Below are 14,641 nucleotides of genomic sequence, written 5' to 3'. Positions count from 1 at the left end.
CCTCAGCCTCCCGTGTAGCTGAGACTACAGGCGCCCGCCACCATGCCCAGCTAATTTTTTGTATTTTTTAGTAGAGACGGTGTTTCACCGTGTTGCCCAGGCTGGTTTCGAACTCCTGAGCTCAGGCCATCCGCCTGCCTCAGCCTCCCAAAGTGCTGGGATTACAGGCGTGAGCCACCGCGCCCGGCCACAAGGGAATTTTTAAAACTTAGTACCACAGGAACCTCTTTTAATAATTTCACAGATATTGAGGGATGAGAACAAAATAAATGCTCGGCAGATCAACTTACTTGGTTTCACAAAAACTTAAGATCCATTTTAAAGTAATTTACATAATACAGCTCAAGTTTTCAAAGTTTTTTTTTTTTTTTTTTTGAGACGGAGTCTCACTCTGTCGCCCAGGCTGGAGTGCAGTGGCGTGATCTCAGCTCACTGCAAGCTCCGCCTCCTGGGTTCACGCCATTCTCCTGCCTCAGCCTCCTGAGTAGCTGGGACTACAGGCGCCCACCACCAGGCCCAGCTAATTTTTTTTGTATTTTTAGTAGAGACGGGGTTTCACCGTGTTAGCCAGGATGGTCTTGATTTCCTGACCTCATGATCCGCCCGCCTCAGCCTCCCAAAGTGCTGGGATTACAGGCATGAGCCACCGCGCCCGGCCTCAAAGATGTTTTATTAAGGTCATACAAAGTACCCCAGAACTTAAAGTGTAATAATGAAACATTTTAAAAAGTCCAATCAATACCATCACTGAACCATATAAATAGCTTCCTCTTTCTGAGCTTCTTGGATCTTCAGCTCTCCTGCCACATCGTGTTGACTTTCTGCATGGCCACCTCCATCTCCCCCTCCTTGTCCCACACCTTCTGCTTCTGGGAGCAGAGCTCTGCTACCAGCTCACAGAGCTCCAAGAAGTCCTGCAGGGCCAGCTTTTGCTGCTGATGGGCATCTTTGAGTTCTTTGGCCTGGGATTTCAATAACTCTGAGGCTTCAACCAATTGCTGAAAAAAAAAATCACAATTATAGATGTTTTATGTTTGCTTAACAAAGGCCTGGAAGGTTTAGTCTTACACTATATTAAAGAGTTACAAGTGACAGCCAATGCTGGTTACAGATTAAAGCCAAAGATCGGAGAAATCCCTTGCTTGGAAAAAGCCCTGTGGTCACCTCACCCCAGCCAAACATTCAATGGGAAGACCACCTGGGCTCAGGTGATGAGCACCAACTCCACACCAAGCAAGACCCTGCAACTGCATGGAATAGCTTACAGCAGGACACCTGGCTCTGTAACGTCAACCTCTGCCTGATGTCATCTACACAATTGCAAAGGTGAATAAAGCATTTGGGCGCTCAATCTAGTTACTTAAACATAAACGGAAACATAAATACACACACACACACACACACACACACACACACACACTACTTAAGATTTAAATCGGACCAGGCACAGTGGGTCATGCTTATAATCGCAGCAGTTTGGGAGGCTGAGGTGGGAGGCTCACTTGAGCCCAGGAGTTCAAGACCAGTGCCTGGGCACAATGGTGAAACCGCATCTCAAGAAAGAAAAGAAAGAAAGAAGAAAAGAAGGAAAGAAGGAAAGGAAAGAAAGGAAAGGAAAGAAAAGAAAGGACAGAAAGGAAAGAGAGAGAGAAAAGAAGGAAGGAAGGAAGAAAGGAAGGAAGGAAGGAAAGAAGGAATGAAGGAAGAAAAAGAAAGAAAGAAAAGAAAAGAAAAGAAAAGAGAAAAGAAAACAAAGAAAAGAAAAGAAAATTAAGAAGAAAAAGATTTAAATCAAAGTCTCCCTGGGTGGAGAGCCACAGTTGGACTTACCGTGAGGTCAGCTGTACTGACAACCCAACCTTACCACTTGCTGCACTGATGACCCTGACCTCCCCACAGCCAATCTGGTCAACAATGTGGTTGTTTAGTCGCTGTCACACCTGCTGGACTGTGACTGGAAGTGAGGAGAGGTGGAGCAAGCTGGCAGGGCAGCTCCCGCATGGGGAGGAAAGGCCTCCCCAGGCCTCTCTGCCCGGCTCAGAGTTATTGTGACTACATTAAGCAATGAGACAGCACCCAGACCACACTGCAGTCCCAGACAAGTCATGCAGGGGAATCACACCACAGATGATCTTAAGTAGCAATTTGGGTTTACAATCTGGCACATTTTAGAGGACAGACCACAAACTATAGGTCCAAGGACTTAAGTGTATAAATGAATGTATTTTAGAAAACAGAACCTACTTGTGTTATTACTACTATACTGGCATTTGAACATAAAGTTTCACACATCTTACTAAAAACCAAATTTATGAAGAAGTTATGGGGGAATTACCCACATTTTAACAAATGGTCTTTTTTGCAGCTCCCTGTCATCACATGGTGGAGAGAGAAGGGGGAGTCACTGGTGTCAGGCCCAGCGTATCACTGCAGATAACACAGACATAGTTCCTCATTCAAAATTGGCAGGGGTGGGGGAGTTGCTGCTTACTTTGTGGGGTTGAACTGGAGATGGCAGATGACTGCGAAGTGGGTGCCTGCTGCAGGCAAGGTGCTAGTAGGCAGCCATGACTGGGAGCCAAGCTCAGCCAGCTGACACGAGCTATGCAGCACCCGGCTGGTCCCTAGATCCAGGCTTGGCCCTGGTGTCCTGCATGCAGCAGGGACAGTCCATGAGTAGGAGTCCCAAGAAGGTCTTTAAACATCTGTATGAACTCAACCTTACAAAACTGCAAAGTCTCGTAAGCCTTTCTCACCCAGAACTGAGCCACCTACCTTGCGCAGGTCCTCATTCTCCTGCCACACCATGCTGCCTCTCTGGCCCTGCCAGCCGCTGCGTAAAATCTTGGCAAAGTGTCCTTGTCCTCAAGTTGTCACTCAAGCCTGTTTGAATCTGAGCAAAAGAGGAAATAATTTGTGCTCCTTTCTGTGTAGTGACTATATGTAAACTTTGTTAGCTGGCTTACTGCAAGGATTTAATAATTGACAACACTTTTTTTTTAGTACTGTATACTAAATAAAATACACAAAGCAGCAATACTTACGGGCCAGAAATACTGTTTACTACAAGTCAGTTATGGAATCATAACTTACAGTAAAAATGGGCACGTCCAAGACTCAATTTTTATTTTGTTATTTACAGTAGAGTAAATATTTTGTTCCTAATTTTCCACACTCTCTACTGGGAATATGTGTTACTTTTATAATCAGAAAAATAAATATTGCAGTCATGTGGCACATAATGATGTTTTGGACAACAGCAGACAGCATATACAACAGTGGCCCCATAAGATTATAATACCATTATTTTTCATGTAGCTTTTCTATGTTTAGATACACAAATCCTTACTGTACAGGTCTGTAGCTGAGGGGCAATATGCTGTACCATGTGGCCTAGGTGGGCAGTAGGCTGCTCCATGTAGGTTGGTCTAAGTACACTCTATGATGTTCTCACGTCAACGAAATTGCCTGATGATGGCTTTCTGAGAGCGTATCCCAGCCTCTGAGGGACGCATGACTGTACTGAAGAGCATGGGGTGACATGGGCTACAGCTGAGTTCTGTGCATGATGTGGTTGGAGCCCTGAGGAAGGGGAGGGCTGTGGACTGAACTGTGTCCCCCCATTATTAGACACTGAAGCTCCGATCCCCAATGTGACTGTATTTGGGGATGGGGCCTATAAGGAAATGATGATGATTATGTGAGGTCATAAGGGTGGGCCCTGATCCAGTAGGATTCGTGTCCTTATAAGAGACCAGGGAGCTTGAGTGCTGCCTTCCCCCACCCTGTGGGAGGACATGGTAAGAAGGTGGCTGTGTGCCAGCCAGGACAAGAGGCCTCTGGGACTTTTAGCCTCCAGAACTGTGAGAAAATAAAACTCTGTTGTTTAAGCTACTCAGTCGATGGTATTTTTTTAGGGCAGCCGGAGCCGACTAAGATGGAAGGATTCACCCTTCTGGGGAGAAGAGGCAGGAGGCAAGAGGCCTCCTCTGGTTTCCCTGGCTCTCCACAGATCTCCCTCCCTGCTCCTCCTCTTTGTGCCAAAACATCCTTCTAAGGGCAGACCTGATTGCACTGTTCAGAGGTCCCCAAAGCCCACAGAAAAGTCTCAACTCCTGGACCTCGTGAGTCCCATCCCACTGGGGGAGCTCCCTCTCTCTTCTCTGCTCTCCTCTCAGGAGGGAAAGTTAAGAGCCTGCTTGGCCACCCTCTAGGGAGATGCCATGATAGGGTGCTGCATCCTGGTGATGAGCTGGGGGTAAGCCAGCACGTCTCCTCCAGGCCTTTTCTCAGAACTGAATATACACTGTTAAGATGATCTTTAGAAATGGAAGAATCAAACTGGGAAGAATTACACGCCTGTAGTCCCAGCCTACAAGGAAGCCTGAGGCATAAGGATCACTTGAGCCCAGGGGTTTTGAGTCCAGCCTGGTCAACATGGTGAGAACCAGTGTCCAAAAAATAAATAAATAAGCAATAAATAAATAAGAATCAGGTGACTGTTCCAGACTCCTCCAAAATGGGCATTGTGTCCCTACTCTGCTCTTCCCAGGACAGGGCTGTGCCTTCCCCTTTCCTGGTGGCCATAAACCCAGTCCCTCTCACTAAAGGAGAGAGAAAAGAAAAAGTGTTCAAAGCACTTTGAGTTATGCGAGGTGTGCAGAATGTATCAGGCCCAGAGAGACAGGAATATGGGACTTCAGTCACACACCTCATACCCATGCCCCAGCAGCTGTGTAAAGGCATTTTGTTCCTGACTAGCTTTATCTTCCTGTTACTAGAATTTGTGATACAAAAGACAATATAGAGCCAATAAATAGCTTATGTTATTTTAATATACATTCCTCTGGCCAGGCCAGCCAAGGTGGGAGGCTCCCTTCCGGCCAGGAGTTCAAGACCAGGCTGGGCAACACAGCAAGACTCTGTCTCTATTTGTAAAATTCTTGGTAAACAATTTAGAAACTGCCCCTTCTTTTCCTTTAAAAACCCATTTGTAACTGCTGCTAATTAGAGTGTATATTAAGGCAACTTGCATCTCCAAGGTTGCAGTTCGCAAACTTGGCCCAAATAAACTGTATTTTTTTTTAGTTTTTTATTTTTTGTGAGACGGAATCTCCCTCTGTCACCCAGGCTGGAGTGCAGTGGCACAATCTCGGCTCACTGCAACCTCCACCTCCCGGATTCAAGCGATTCTTGTGCCTCAGCCTCCCGAGTAGCTGGGATTACAGGCACCCATCACCATGTCCGGCTAATTTTATTCATTTTTTATTTTTTGTAGAAACGGGGGCAGGACGGGTCTCACCACGTTGCCCAGGCTGGTTGCAAACTCCTGACCTCAAGCAATCCTCCGGCGGAGGCCTCCCAAAGCACTGGAATTACAGGCCTGAGGCACTGCGCCCAGCCCAACCTCTCCACCTATATTAATTTTACCTCTGCTTCTTCTTTTCTTTTCTTTTCTTTTTTTTTTTAAGACGGAGTCTCGCCCAGGCTGCAGTGCGATCTCGGCTAACTGCAACCTCTGCCTCCCGGGTTCAAGCAATTCCCCAGCCTCAGCCTCCCGAGTAGCTGGGATTACAGGCACGCCCACCATACCCGGATAGTTTTTGTATTTTTAGTAGAGACGGGATTTCACCATGTTGGCCAGGTTGGTCTCCAACTCCTGACTTCAGGTGATCTGCCCGCCTCTGCCTCCGAAGTGATGGGATTACAGACGTGAGCCACAGAAACCCACTCACTTTTTCCTTTCAGATCACAAAAGTGATCGAATCCCGCCACTTCCCGGGTGCTGGGTGGGAAGGTGGGGTGATTGCTGTGCTGCTGTGACTTGGGTAGATGCCGTGAAGGCCTCTCAAAGGCGGCCATGTTTGCAAAGATCTGAATAAGGCACCTCCAGAGGAACCGGTCTGGGGCAACTGGGGAGGAGGCAGCGGCACAAGTTCGTGGTCAAGCCACTGCAAGGCTGGGAGCTTACTTACAAAGCAATGTTCCTCCACCTATAAAGACGCAGTAGCTGCTCCATCCCCGGTCAGAGGACCCCCGGAAACGTCTCAGCCCACGCACTGCCCTCTGACCCCACTGCCTTCCCGCCAGTCCTGCATCCAGTCAGAGGGCCCTCTCTGAGCCTGCTGCCTTCCCGCCAATCCTGCATCCAATCAGAGGGCGTCCCCACTACGTGGTTTGCACAACGGCCAATCAAAACTAGGATCCGAGCCTTGGCCCGCCTCCCAGGACGTCCGGACCAATGGTGGCCTGGCACCAGCAGGCCAATCCCAGACAGCGCACGGCGGGAGGCTGTCGTTGGGCGTGCGCAGCTGCAGCGGCGGTTGAGGTCAAGTAGTAGCGTTGGGCTGCGGCAGCGGAGGAGCTCAACATGGTAAGGCCAGGTCACTCCCACCCCGCAGACGCCCAGGCTGGAGGGTGGACGAAGTTGGCCTCCTGAGGTGGCTGGATGGAGGGATGCTGTTGCGGGCCAGGGTGCAGAAAGGAGGTCAGAGAAGGATGCGGGGCCCAGGGCGGGACACGAGGACACGGCATCGTCTGCTGGGTCTGCGGGCTCCAGGGCAGGGATGGCAGCTTTTGTTTTAGACGAAGCTGCCGGCCTTGAGTCAGTGGACGGGGAGCATTGACCGTGTCCTGTCCCCCAGAGAGCAAACAGTGGTGCCGCCTCCTGAAGACAGAAGGGCGCTGCTCCCGCTTTCCGGTCTCCAAATGTCTCTGTCCTATTGGAAACCACTGAGGAGCCCCAGGAGCCTTGTTGATGGAGGCAAGGGCTGTGGACATTGGTCAGATCAGGAATTAAAGCTCAGACGGGAGTTGGAGGCGGGGAATCCCCTGAGGTCAGGGGCTCCTCACTAGCCTGGCCAATATGGCGAAATCCCTTCTCTACTAAAAATAGAAAAATTCCCGGGGTGGAGGCGTGGATCTGTGGTTCCAGCTACTCGGGAGGCTGAGGTGGGAGGGTCAGCTGAGCCCAGGACTTCGAGGCCGCAGTGAGTCATGATGGTGCCACTGCACTCCAGCTTGTGCGACAGAGAGAGACCCTGCCTCAAAAAAAAAAAAAAGCAACCAACGCATTCACATAAAGAATAGATTTCTAAGTCCCAAGTCTGAATAGCAGTGGCCGTGGTTTGTCAAGTATCTTTTTTTTTTTTTTTTTGAAACGGCTCAACAACAGCTCTGTTGCCCAGGCTGGAGCACAGTTGCACGATCACGGCTCCCTGCAGCCTTGAACCCCTGGGCTCCAGCAATCCTCCTGCCTCAGCCTCCTGAGTAGCTGGGACTACAGGTGTGTGCTGCCACAGCTGGCTAATGTTTAAATTTTTCGGCCGGGCGCTGTGGCTCACGCCTGTAATCCCAGCACTTTGGGAGGCCAAGGCGGGCATATCAAAAGGTCAGGAGATCGAGACCATCCTGGCTAACACGGTGAAACCCCATCTCTACTAAAAATACAAAAAATTAGTTGGGCATAGTGGCCTGTAGTCCCAGCTACGTGGGAGACTGAGGCAGGAGAATTGCTTGAACCCGGGAGGCAGAGGCTGCAGTGAGCTGAGATTGTGCCACTGCATTCCAGCCTGGGTGACAGAGCAAGACTCTGTTTAAAAAAAAAAAATTTTTTTTCATAGTTGCCCAGGCTGGTCTCAAACTGGTCCCAAGCGATCTCAGCTCAGCCTCCCAAAGTGCTGGAATTACAGGCATGAGCCACCACATCCGGCTTGTCAGGGCTTAAAGAAACCACCAAGGACAGTGCAGTGTCCCAGCACTGATGACATCTGGGAGCCATTACACTCCTAGGCTTCAAGGGGTAGAGGGGAGGGAGTGCTTACGAAAAATTGAGAGGGTAACTTTATGAAGAGGGCCACCTGCCAAAAGTGTGGCCTTGATGGAGGGATTTGTATCGCCCATGAAAGGTGAGCAGGAAGGGGCCAAGGGGAGAGTACCCTGACGCCACTCTCCTCCAGCCTCCTGGTCTCCTGCGGCTGCCTGTCATTGAACAAACCAGCACGAAGCCAGAGAGCAAGGAAGGCCTCTGATGCTGTCCTCATGGGTCAGCCTCGGAGAGCACAGGGCGGGTGGTGAATGATGGAGGGTAGATCTGGGGGTGCAGAGAGAGGACACATACTGAACACCTGGGCTTGGACCACAGTGACCTGGGACCTACTCTCTATTTCCTTACCCAACCCCATTACCTTATCCTTTGGTAGGACATAATCAAAAACTGCTATGTATTCTTCAGAGAATTACTGTGACTGGCTATAATGTGGGTTTGATTACTGACATTACATGGCTTCCAAGTTTTAAAATAATCTAATTTTTGTGTAGTGGCAAACATTAGGTTCTAGGGCTACCTCTGGAACTTAGCAGCTGGGATGGTGTAGAGCAAGTAAGTTTTCACAGGGATAAAGGGGTCAGTCACCTAACCCTCCTAGGAAATATCAATTGTGAAAGCACCAGATACTGAAGCAGTATATAAATATTAAATTATAATATTTTGCATACCATATAGCTTCAAGTTGCCTTGAAATGAATGGGTCTACATTTATGTTCTGGTTCACAGCGTGAGTGTATCTCTATCCACGTGGGGCAGGCAGGAGTCCAGATCGGCAATGCCTGCTGGGAACTGTACTGCCTGGAACATGGAATTCAGCCCGATGGTCAGATGCCAAGTGATAAAACCATTGGTGGTGGGGACGACTCCTTCAACACGTTCTTCAGTGAGACTGGAGCTGGCAAGCACGTGCCCAGAGCAGTGTTTGTGGACCTGGAGCCCACTGTGGTCGGTAGGTGCTCGGGTCCTGGATGGCAGCTTTCTTAGGAGGGTGGGAGAGCATCGTCGGTAAGGCCCCATGTGGGCTCCTTTGAATCCTCCTGCAGAAGGTATGAGATAGACAAGCATATTCCCATGGTGTTAACAGAAACTGAAAGGTTCGTGATTAAAGTGTCTGTGAGATTCGGCTCCTAAGTTAGGAAAACCTGGCCTACAGGGAAAAGCTGCTTTGCCAACAGTAAGATGGGCTGTGGAGAGATTCCGTCGTGGCTGCCTCAGCCCTGTTCAGGTGGCCCTGCCTGCAGGGCACAATGGCATTGGTTTCCTCCTGAATGCTGTGTACTCTTATGCTGGTGCAAGAGAGTCTTGACCTGCATCTTAGGCATAGAAGGTTAAGTACAGAACAGTCATTTGCTTCCTCCAGATTAGAAGCCCAGGATAGTTTCCAAGGAGAGCTGCAAAGAGACAGCCCCTTTCAGTGGCCCCACATGAGATGACAGTGTCACCTGAAAGCCTGTGGGGCCCAGGCCACACAGGGTGCCCTGATGGGACTGCCCTGCAGAAGTCACACTGACCTGGTGACTTCTCAGTTTGTAAGCATTTTTAACTTACAGCCTTCGATGTAGCTACATGTAGGAAAGAATTATGTACCTGTAGAATTACCTGTGTGGGGGTGCTGGAGCTTATTTCCCTTCACTGGGAGCTGGTCGTGCTGACATTTATATTGTAAGCTGAGTTTCACTTCCTAGAGTCATAAATCACAGTTTGGTTATCACACATTTGCACTTTGGTTATCACACAGAGACATTTTCTACCAGACACTGCCACTGTTGACCTACAACATGTAGGTCATGTACTTTGAACAGCATGTACTTTGTAGAAGTGAACAGTCCTGGAATGTGTCCATCTTGGTGAGTATAGGCCTTAAAGATTCACAGTACATACGGTCTCTTTTGTAGATGAAGTGCGCACAGGAACCTATAGGCAGCTCTTCCACCCAGAGCAGCTGATCACCGGGAAGGAAGATGCGGCCAATAATTACGCCAGAGGCCATTACACCATCGGCAAGGAGATCGTCGACCTGGTCCTGGACCGGATCCGCAAACTGGTAAGAAGAGAAGGCTTCATGTGACCATTGTCCTGCACAGGAGGGTAGATCTTAGATTGTGAAGGGGAGGTCATTTTGTCAAAACCTAGACCAGTGCGTTGGCTGGGTCTGGTGGCTCACGCCTGTAATCCCAACACTTTGGGAGGCCAAGGTGGGCAGTCACCTGAAGTCAAGAGTTTGAGACCAGCCTGGCCAACGTGGTGAAACCCTGTCTTTACTAAAAATACACACATTAGTCAGGCGTGGTGGTGCCTGCCTGTAGTCCCAGCTACTCAGGAAGCTGAGGCAGGAGAATGGCTTGAGCCCGGGAGGCAGAGGTTGCACTGAGCGGAGTTCATGCCACTGCCCTCCGGCCTGGGCAACAGAGTGAGATTCTATCTAAAAAAAAAAAAAAAAAAACAACTTAGAACAGTATCTTGAGTCCTATTGCGTCTGCAATGGTCTTAGTCTGAAGTATGCATGGTGATTTGTCTGTAGATCTTTGTCTGCTTTTCTTTGCTTCAGAGTGTACTGCGTGTTTATTATGGATGATTGGAATCCATATCAAGTCTTCAGAGGCAGAGAAGTGGCCCTGGCTTGGTGGAGGTTGGTGGTGTGGCTTCCACGGGCATTGATTCATGTTGTCTGGTTTCCCTCAGGCGGATCTGTGCACGGGACTGCAGGGCTTCCTCATCTTCCACAGTTTTGGGGGTGGCACTGGCTCTGGGTTCGCATCTCTGCTCATGGAGCGGCTCTCAGTGGATTACGGCAAGAAGTCCAAGCTAGAATTTGCCATTTACCCAGCCCCCCAGGTCTCCACGGCCGTGGTGGAGCCCTACAACTCCATCCTGACCACCCACACGACCCTGGAACATTCTGACTGTGCCTTCATGGTCGACAATGAAGCCATCTATGACATATGTCGGCGCAACCTGGACATCGAGCGTCCCACGTACACCAACCTCAATCGCCTGATTGGGCAGATCGTGTCCTCCATCACGGCCTCCCTGCGATTTGACGGGGCCCTGAATGTGGACTTGACGGAATTCCAGACCAACCTAGTGCCGTACCCCCGCATCCACTTCCCCCTGGCCACCTACGCCCCGGTCATCTCAGCCGAGAAGGCCTACCACGAGCAGCTGTCCGTGGCTGAGATCACCAATGCCTGCTTCGAGCCAGCCAATCAGATGGTCAAGTGTGACCCTCGCCACGGCAAGTACATGGCCTGCTGCATGTTGTACAGGGGGGATGTGGTCCCGAAAGATGTCAACGCGGCCATCGCCACCATCAAGACCAAGCGCACCATCCAGTTTGTAGATTGGTGCCCAACTGGATTTAAGGTATGACTGGGTAATGTGGAGTCCTTGTACCTTTCAGCAAGCAACAGACACACAGAGTAATGCTGCCCCTGAAGGCCCACATCCTTTGAGGATACTACCCCTATTCCATGGGCTAGGCATGTGGGCATCAATTAGTGAACCAGAGTGATCATTAATTCAGTGATGTCTTTTTTTTTTTTTTTTTTTTTTTTTTTTTTTTTTGAGGCAGAGTCTAGCTTTGTCGCCCAGGCTGGAGTAAAGTGGTGTGATCTCAGCTCACTGCAATCTCCATCAGCCTCCCAAGTAGCTGGAATTACAGGCACCCACCACCACACCCAGTTAATTTTTATATTTTTAGTAGAAACAGGGTTATGCCATGTTGGCCAGGCTGGTCTTGAACTCCTGACCTCAGGTGAGCCACCCACCTTGGCCACCCAAAGTGCTGGGGTTAGAGGCGTGAGCCACTGTGCCTGGCCCAGTGATGTCTTTTGAACTCTTTCTAAGTCATTACACTATGTATCTGTGATGAGCTTTACTTACTTACTTTGTTGTTGAGAAGGCTGGAGTGCAGTGGTGTGATCTCGGTTCACTGCAACCTCTGCTTCCCAGGCTCAAGTGATTCTCTCACCTCAGCCTCCTGAGTAGCTGGGACCACAGACATGCACCACTACACCCAGCTAATTTTTGTGTATTTAGTAAAGGGATTTCACCATGTTGGCCAAGCTGGTCTCAAATTCCTGGTCTTAAGTGATCTGCTTGTCTTAGCCTCCCAAAATGTTGGGATTACGGGCATGAGCCACTGTGCTCAACCCTATTTATTTACTTTTTTGAGACAGAATCCCACCTGTCACCCAGGCTGGAGTGCAGTGTGGTGATCACAGCTCTCCACTAAAAATACAAAAATTGGATGGGCATGGTGGCCCATGCCTATAATCCAGCACTTTGGGAGGCCAAGGCAGGCGGATCACCTGAGGTCAGGAGTTTGACACCAGCCTGGCCAACAGGGCAAAATCCCGTGTCTACTAAAAATACAAAAATTAGCCGGGTATGGTGGCGGGCACCTGTAATCCCAGCTACTGAGGAGGCTGAGGCAGGAGAATCACTGGGACCCAGGAGGTGGAGGTTGCAGTGAGAAGATATCACTCCACTGCACTCCAGCCTGGGTGACAGCACAAGACTCTGTCTCAAAAAAAGAAAAAAAGACAAGATCATACAAATTCTAGGCCTTACAGGTTACACGACCTCTGTCACACCTACCCCACTCTGCTGTCGGATAGCAAAATCAATCTGCAAATGAAGGGGTGTGGTGGCTGTGTTCAGACAAGATCTTACAAAATTAGGTGGCTAGTCCAGCAGCTGTGCTAACCCCTGAAGGAGAAGAAGAGACACCCACAGTAGGAAATCCCAGTCAGAACTGACTGCAGTGGTCTCCCCCAACAGAGACGGTGGGGGTCTGAGCCAGAGGCAGCAGGGAAAGCACAGCACAAGAACGCACAGGCCCAACAGAGAAATGCCACAAGATTTAGTAACCAACTATTGATAAAGCTGAAAGAGGACAGCAAGGTTTCTTTTGTGTCAGTGGAAGGTGGGGACAGATTTTGTGTCTGAGGCAAACCCAGGCCAAAATTACTAGGCTTCCCGGAAAAGAAATAAAGACGTTGCTGCTTTTTGTTTTGTTTTGTTTTGTTTTGTTTTTGAGACGGAGTCTTGCTGTGTCGCCCAGGCTGGAGTGCAGTGGCGTGATCTTGGCTCACTGCAAGCTCCGCCTCCTGGGTTCATGCCATTCTCCCGCCTCAGCCTCCCGAGTAGCTGGGACTACAGGCGCCCGCCACCACACCCGGCTAATTTTGTTTTTGTATTTTTAGTAGAGACCGGGTTTCACCATGTTAGCTAGGATGGTCTCGATCTCCTGACCTCGTGATCTGTCCACCTCGGCCTGCCAAAGTGCTGGGATTACAGGTGTGGGTCACCGTGCCCGGCCTTTTAATTTTTTTGAGACAGGGTCTTGCTCTGTCACCCAAGGAGTGGTAGGATCTCAGCTCATTGGAACCTCTGCCCTCCAGGCTCAAGCAATCCTCCCACCTCAGCCTCCTGAGTAGCTGGGACCACAGGTGCATGACACCATGCCCAGCTAATTTTTTTGTATTTTTGGTAGAGACAGGGTCTTGCCATACTGCCCAGGCTGGTCTCAAACTCAGTTCAAGAAATCCACCTTGGCCTCCCAAAGAGCTGGGATAATGGGTGTGAGCCACTGCACCTGTTGCTGTTTTCATCACAAACAACTCATTCTTTTTTTAAATCAAACCCTACATGAGACAGTGGAACGAATGATGTTGTGAAGCAGTTTATAGTAATGCCCAAGTTAAAATAAAATATATACACCACCTACAAGATTCCCCAAAATGCCCATAAAATTACTAAGTTCAACCTACCTTTTCCACATGAATTCTACCACCCAAGAAAGGGGCACAAAAATCCTTTAGAAAATACCTTATTCTTAAAAAAAAAAAAAAATGCTGGGCATGCTGCCTCATGACTGTAATCCTAGCACTTTGGGAGGCTGGGGTGGGTGGATCGATTGGGCCCAGGAGTTTGAGGCCAGCCTGGGCAACATATGTTGTCTGGAACTGTCACCCTGCCTGGCACAGAGAAGGGCTTAGTGACATTTGTGGGGTGAACTGAGAATTCTCCTGTTCACCTACAGGGTGTCTTCTTTTTGAGGAAAAGCAGCCACCATTTCCAGGTTTGATATAAGCTTCATGGACTGTTTCTTCCTCTTCTCCGGCAGGTGGGCATTAACTACCAGCCCCCCACGGTGGTCCCTGGGGGAGACCTGGCCAAGGTGCAGCGGGCTGTGTGCATGCTGAGCAACACCACGGCCATCGCGGAGGCCTGGGCTCGCCTGGACCATAAGTTCGATCTCATGTATGCCAAGCGGGCCTTTGTGCACTGGTACGTGGGAGAAGGCATGGAGGAGGGGGAGTTCTCTGAGGCCCGCGAGGACCTGGCAGCTCTGGAGAAGGATTATGAAGAGGTGGGCGTGGATTCCGTGGAAGCCGAGGCTGAAGAAGGTGAAGAATACTGAGGGGAGGGTGTGGTGGGTTCTCCACTCCACTGCCACCCCCAGCGTGGCTGCTTTCAAGTTCTTTGCAATTAAAGGTTCTGTATAAAACCAAGACCTCTGTGTATCGTACTGCCTAGCTTTGCCTGCAGGAGCAGGTGGGACCCCCAGAGCCTGCATGGACAGTGGTGGGGTGCCAGCCTGCCCTGCTAGCATGGAGTTGGGTGCAGCGGGATGGTACATACTTAAGGAGCTGCCACAGAAGTAACTTGACACGGAGAAATAGATTTCCTAAATTCTAGGAAAGCACAGTCAGGGTTTTCAACTGAATTTGCAACTTTGGGGGCTTTTCTATTGATGGGTGATGCGAGCTACAAAGAAGAGTCTAGACATGGAGTGTTTAAATCTGA

General features: G+C 49.7%; 1 protein-coding gene and 1 long non-coding RNA gene across 2 annotated transcripts; one reads left to right on the top strand and one right to left on the bottom strand.

The window, feature by feature from the left end:
* Positions 1-652: 652 nt before the first annotated feature.
* LOC101928697 (Putative uncharacterized protein LOC645739) lies at positions 653-6,085 on the bottom strand. The gene is made up of 3 exons (NR_126054.1): positions 5,976-6,085; positions 2,776-2,893; positions 653-998 (listed from the first exon to the last, which is right to left on the bottom strand). It is a non-coding gene; the product is annotated as a Putative uncharacterized protein LOC645739 (long non-coding RNA).
* A 208-nt stretch (positions 6,086-6,293) lies between these two features.
* On the top strand, positions 6,294-14,346 carry TUBA3C (tubulin alpha 3c). Its single transcript, NM_006001.3, has 5 exons — positions 6,294-6,373; positions 8,555-8,777; positions 9,724-9,872; positions 10,511-11,191; positions 13,959-14,346. The coding sequence occupies exons 1-5, from the start codon at positions 6,371-6,373 to the stop codon at positions 14,253-14,255; spliced, it is 1,353 nt and encodes a 450-aa protein (NP_005992.1). The 5' UTR covers positions 6,294-6,370; the 3' UTR covers positions 14,256-14,346.
* The last annotated feature ends 295 nt before the right edge of the window (positions 14,347-14,641 follow it).

The sequence above is a fragment of the Homo sapiens genome, chromosome 13, assembly GCF_000001405.40.
Source record: "Homo sapiens chromosome 13, GRCh38.p14 Primary Assembly".
Lineage (NCBI taxonomy): Eukaryota > Metazoa > Chordata > Mammalia > Primates > Hominidae > Homo > Homo sapiens.
The sequence above is the reverse complement of the archived record's forward strand: the minus strand, read 5'-3'. Positions and strand labels throughout refer to the sequence as shown.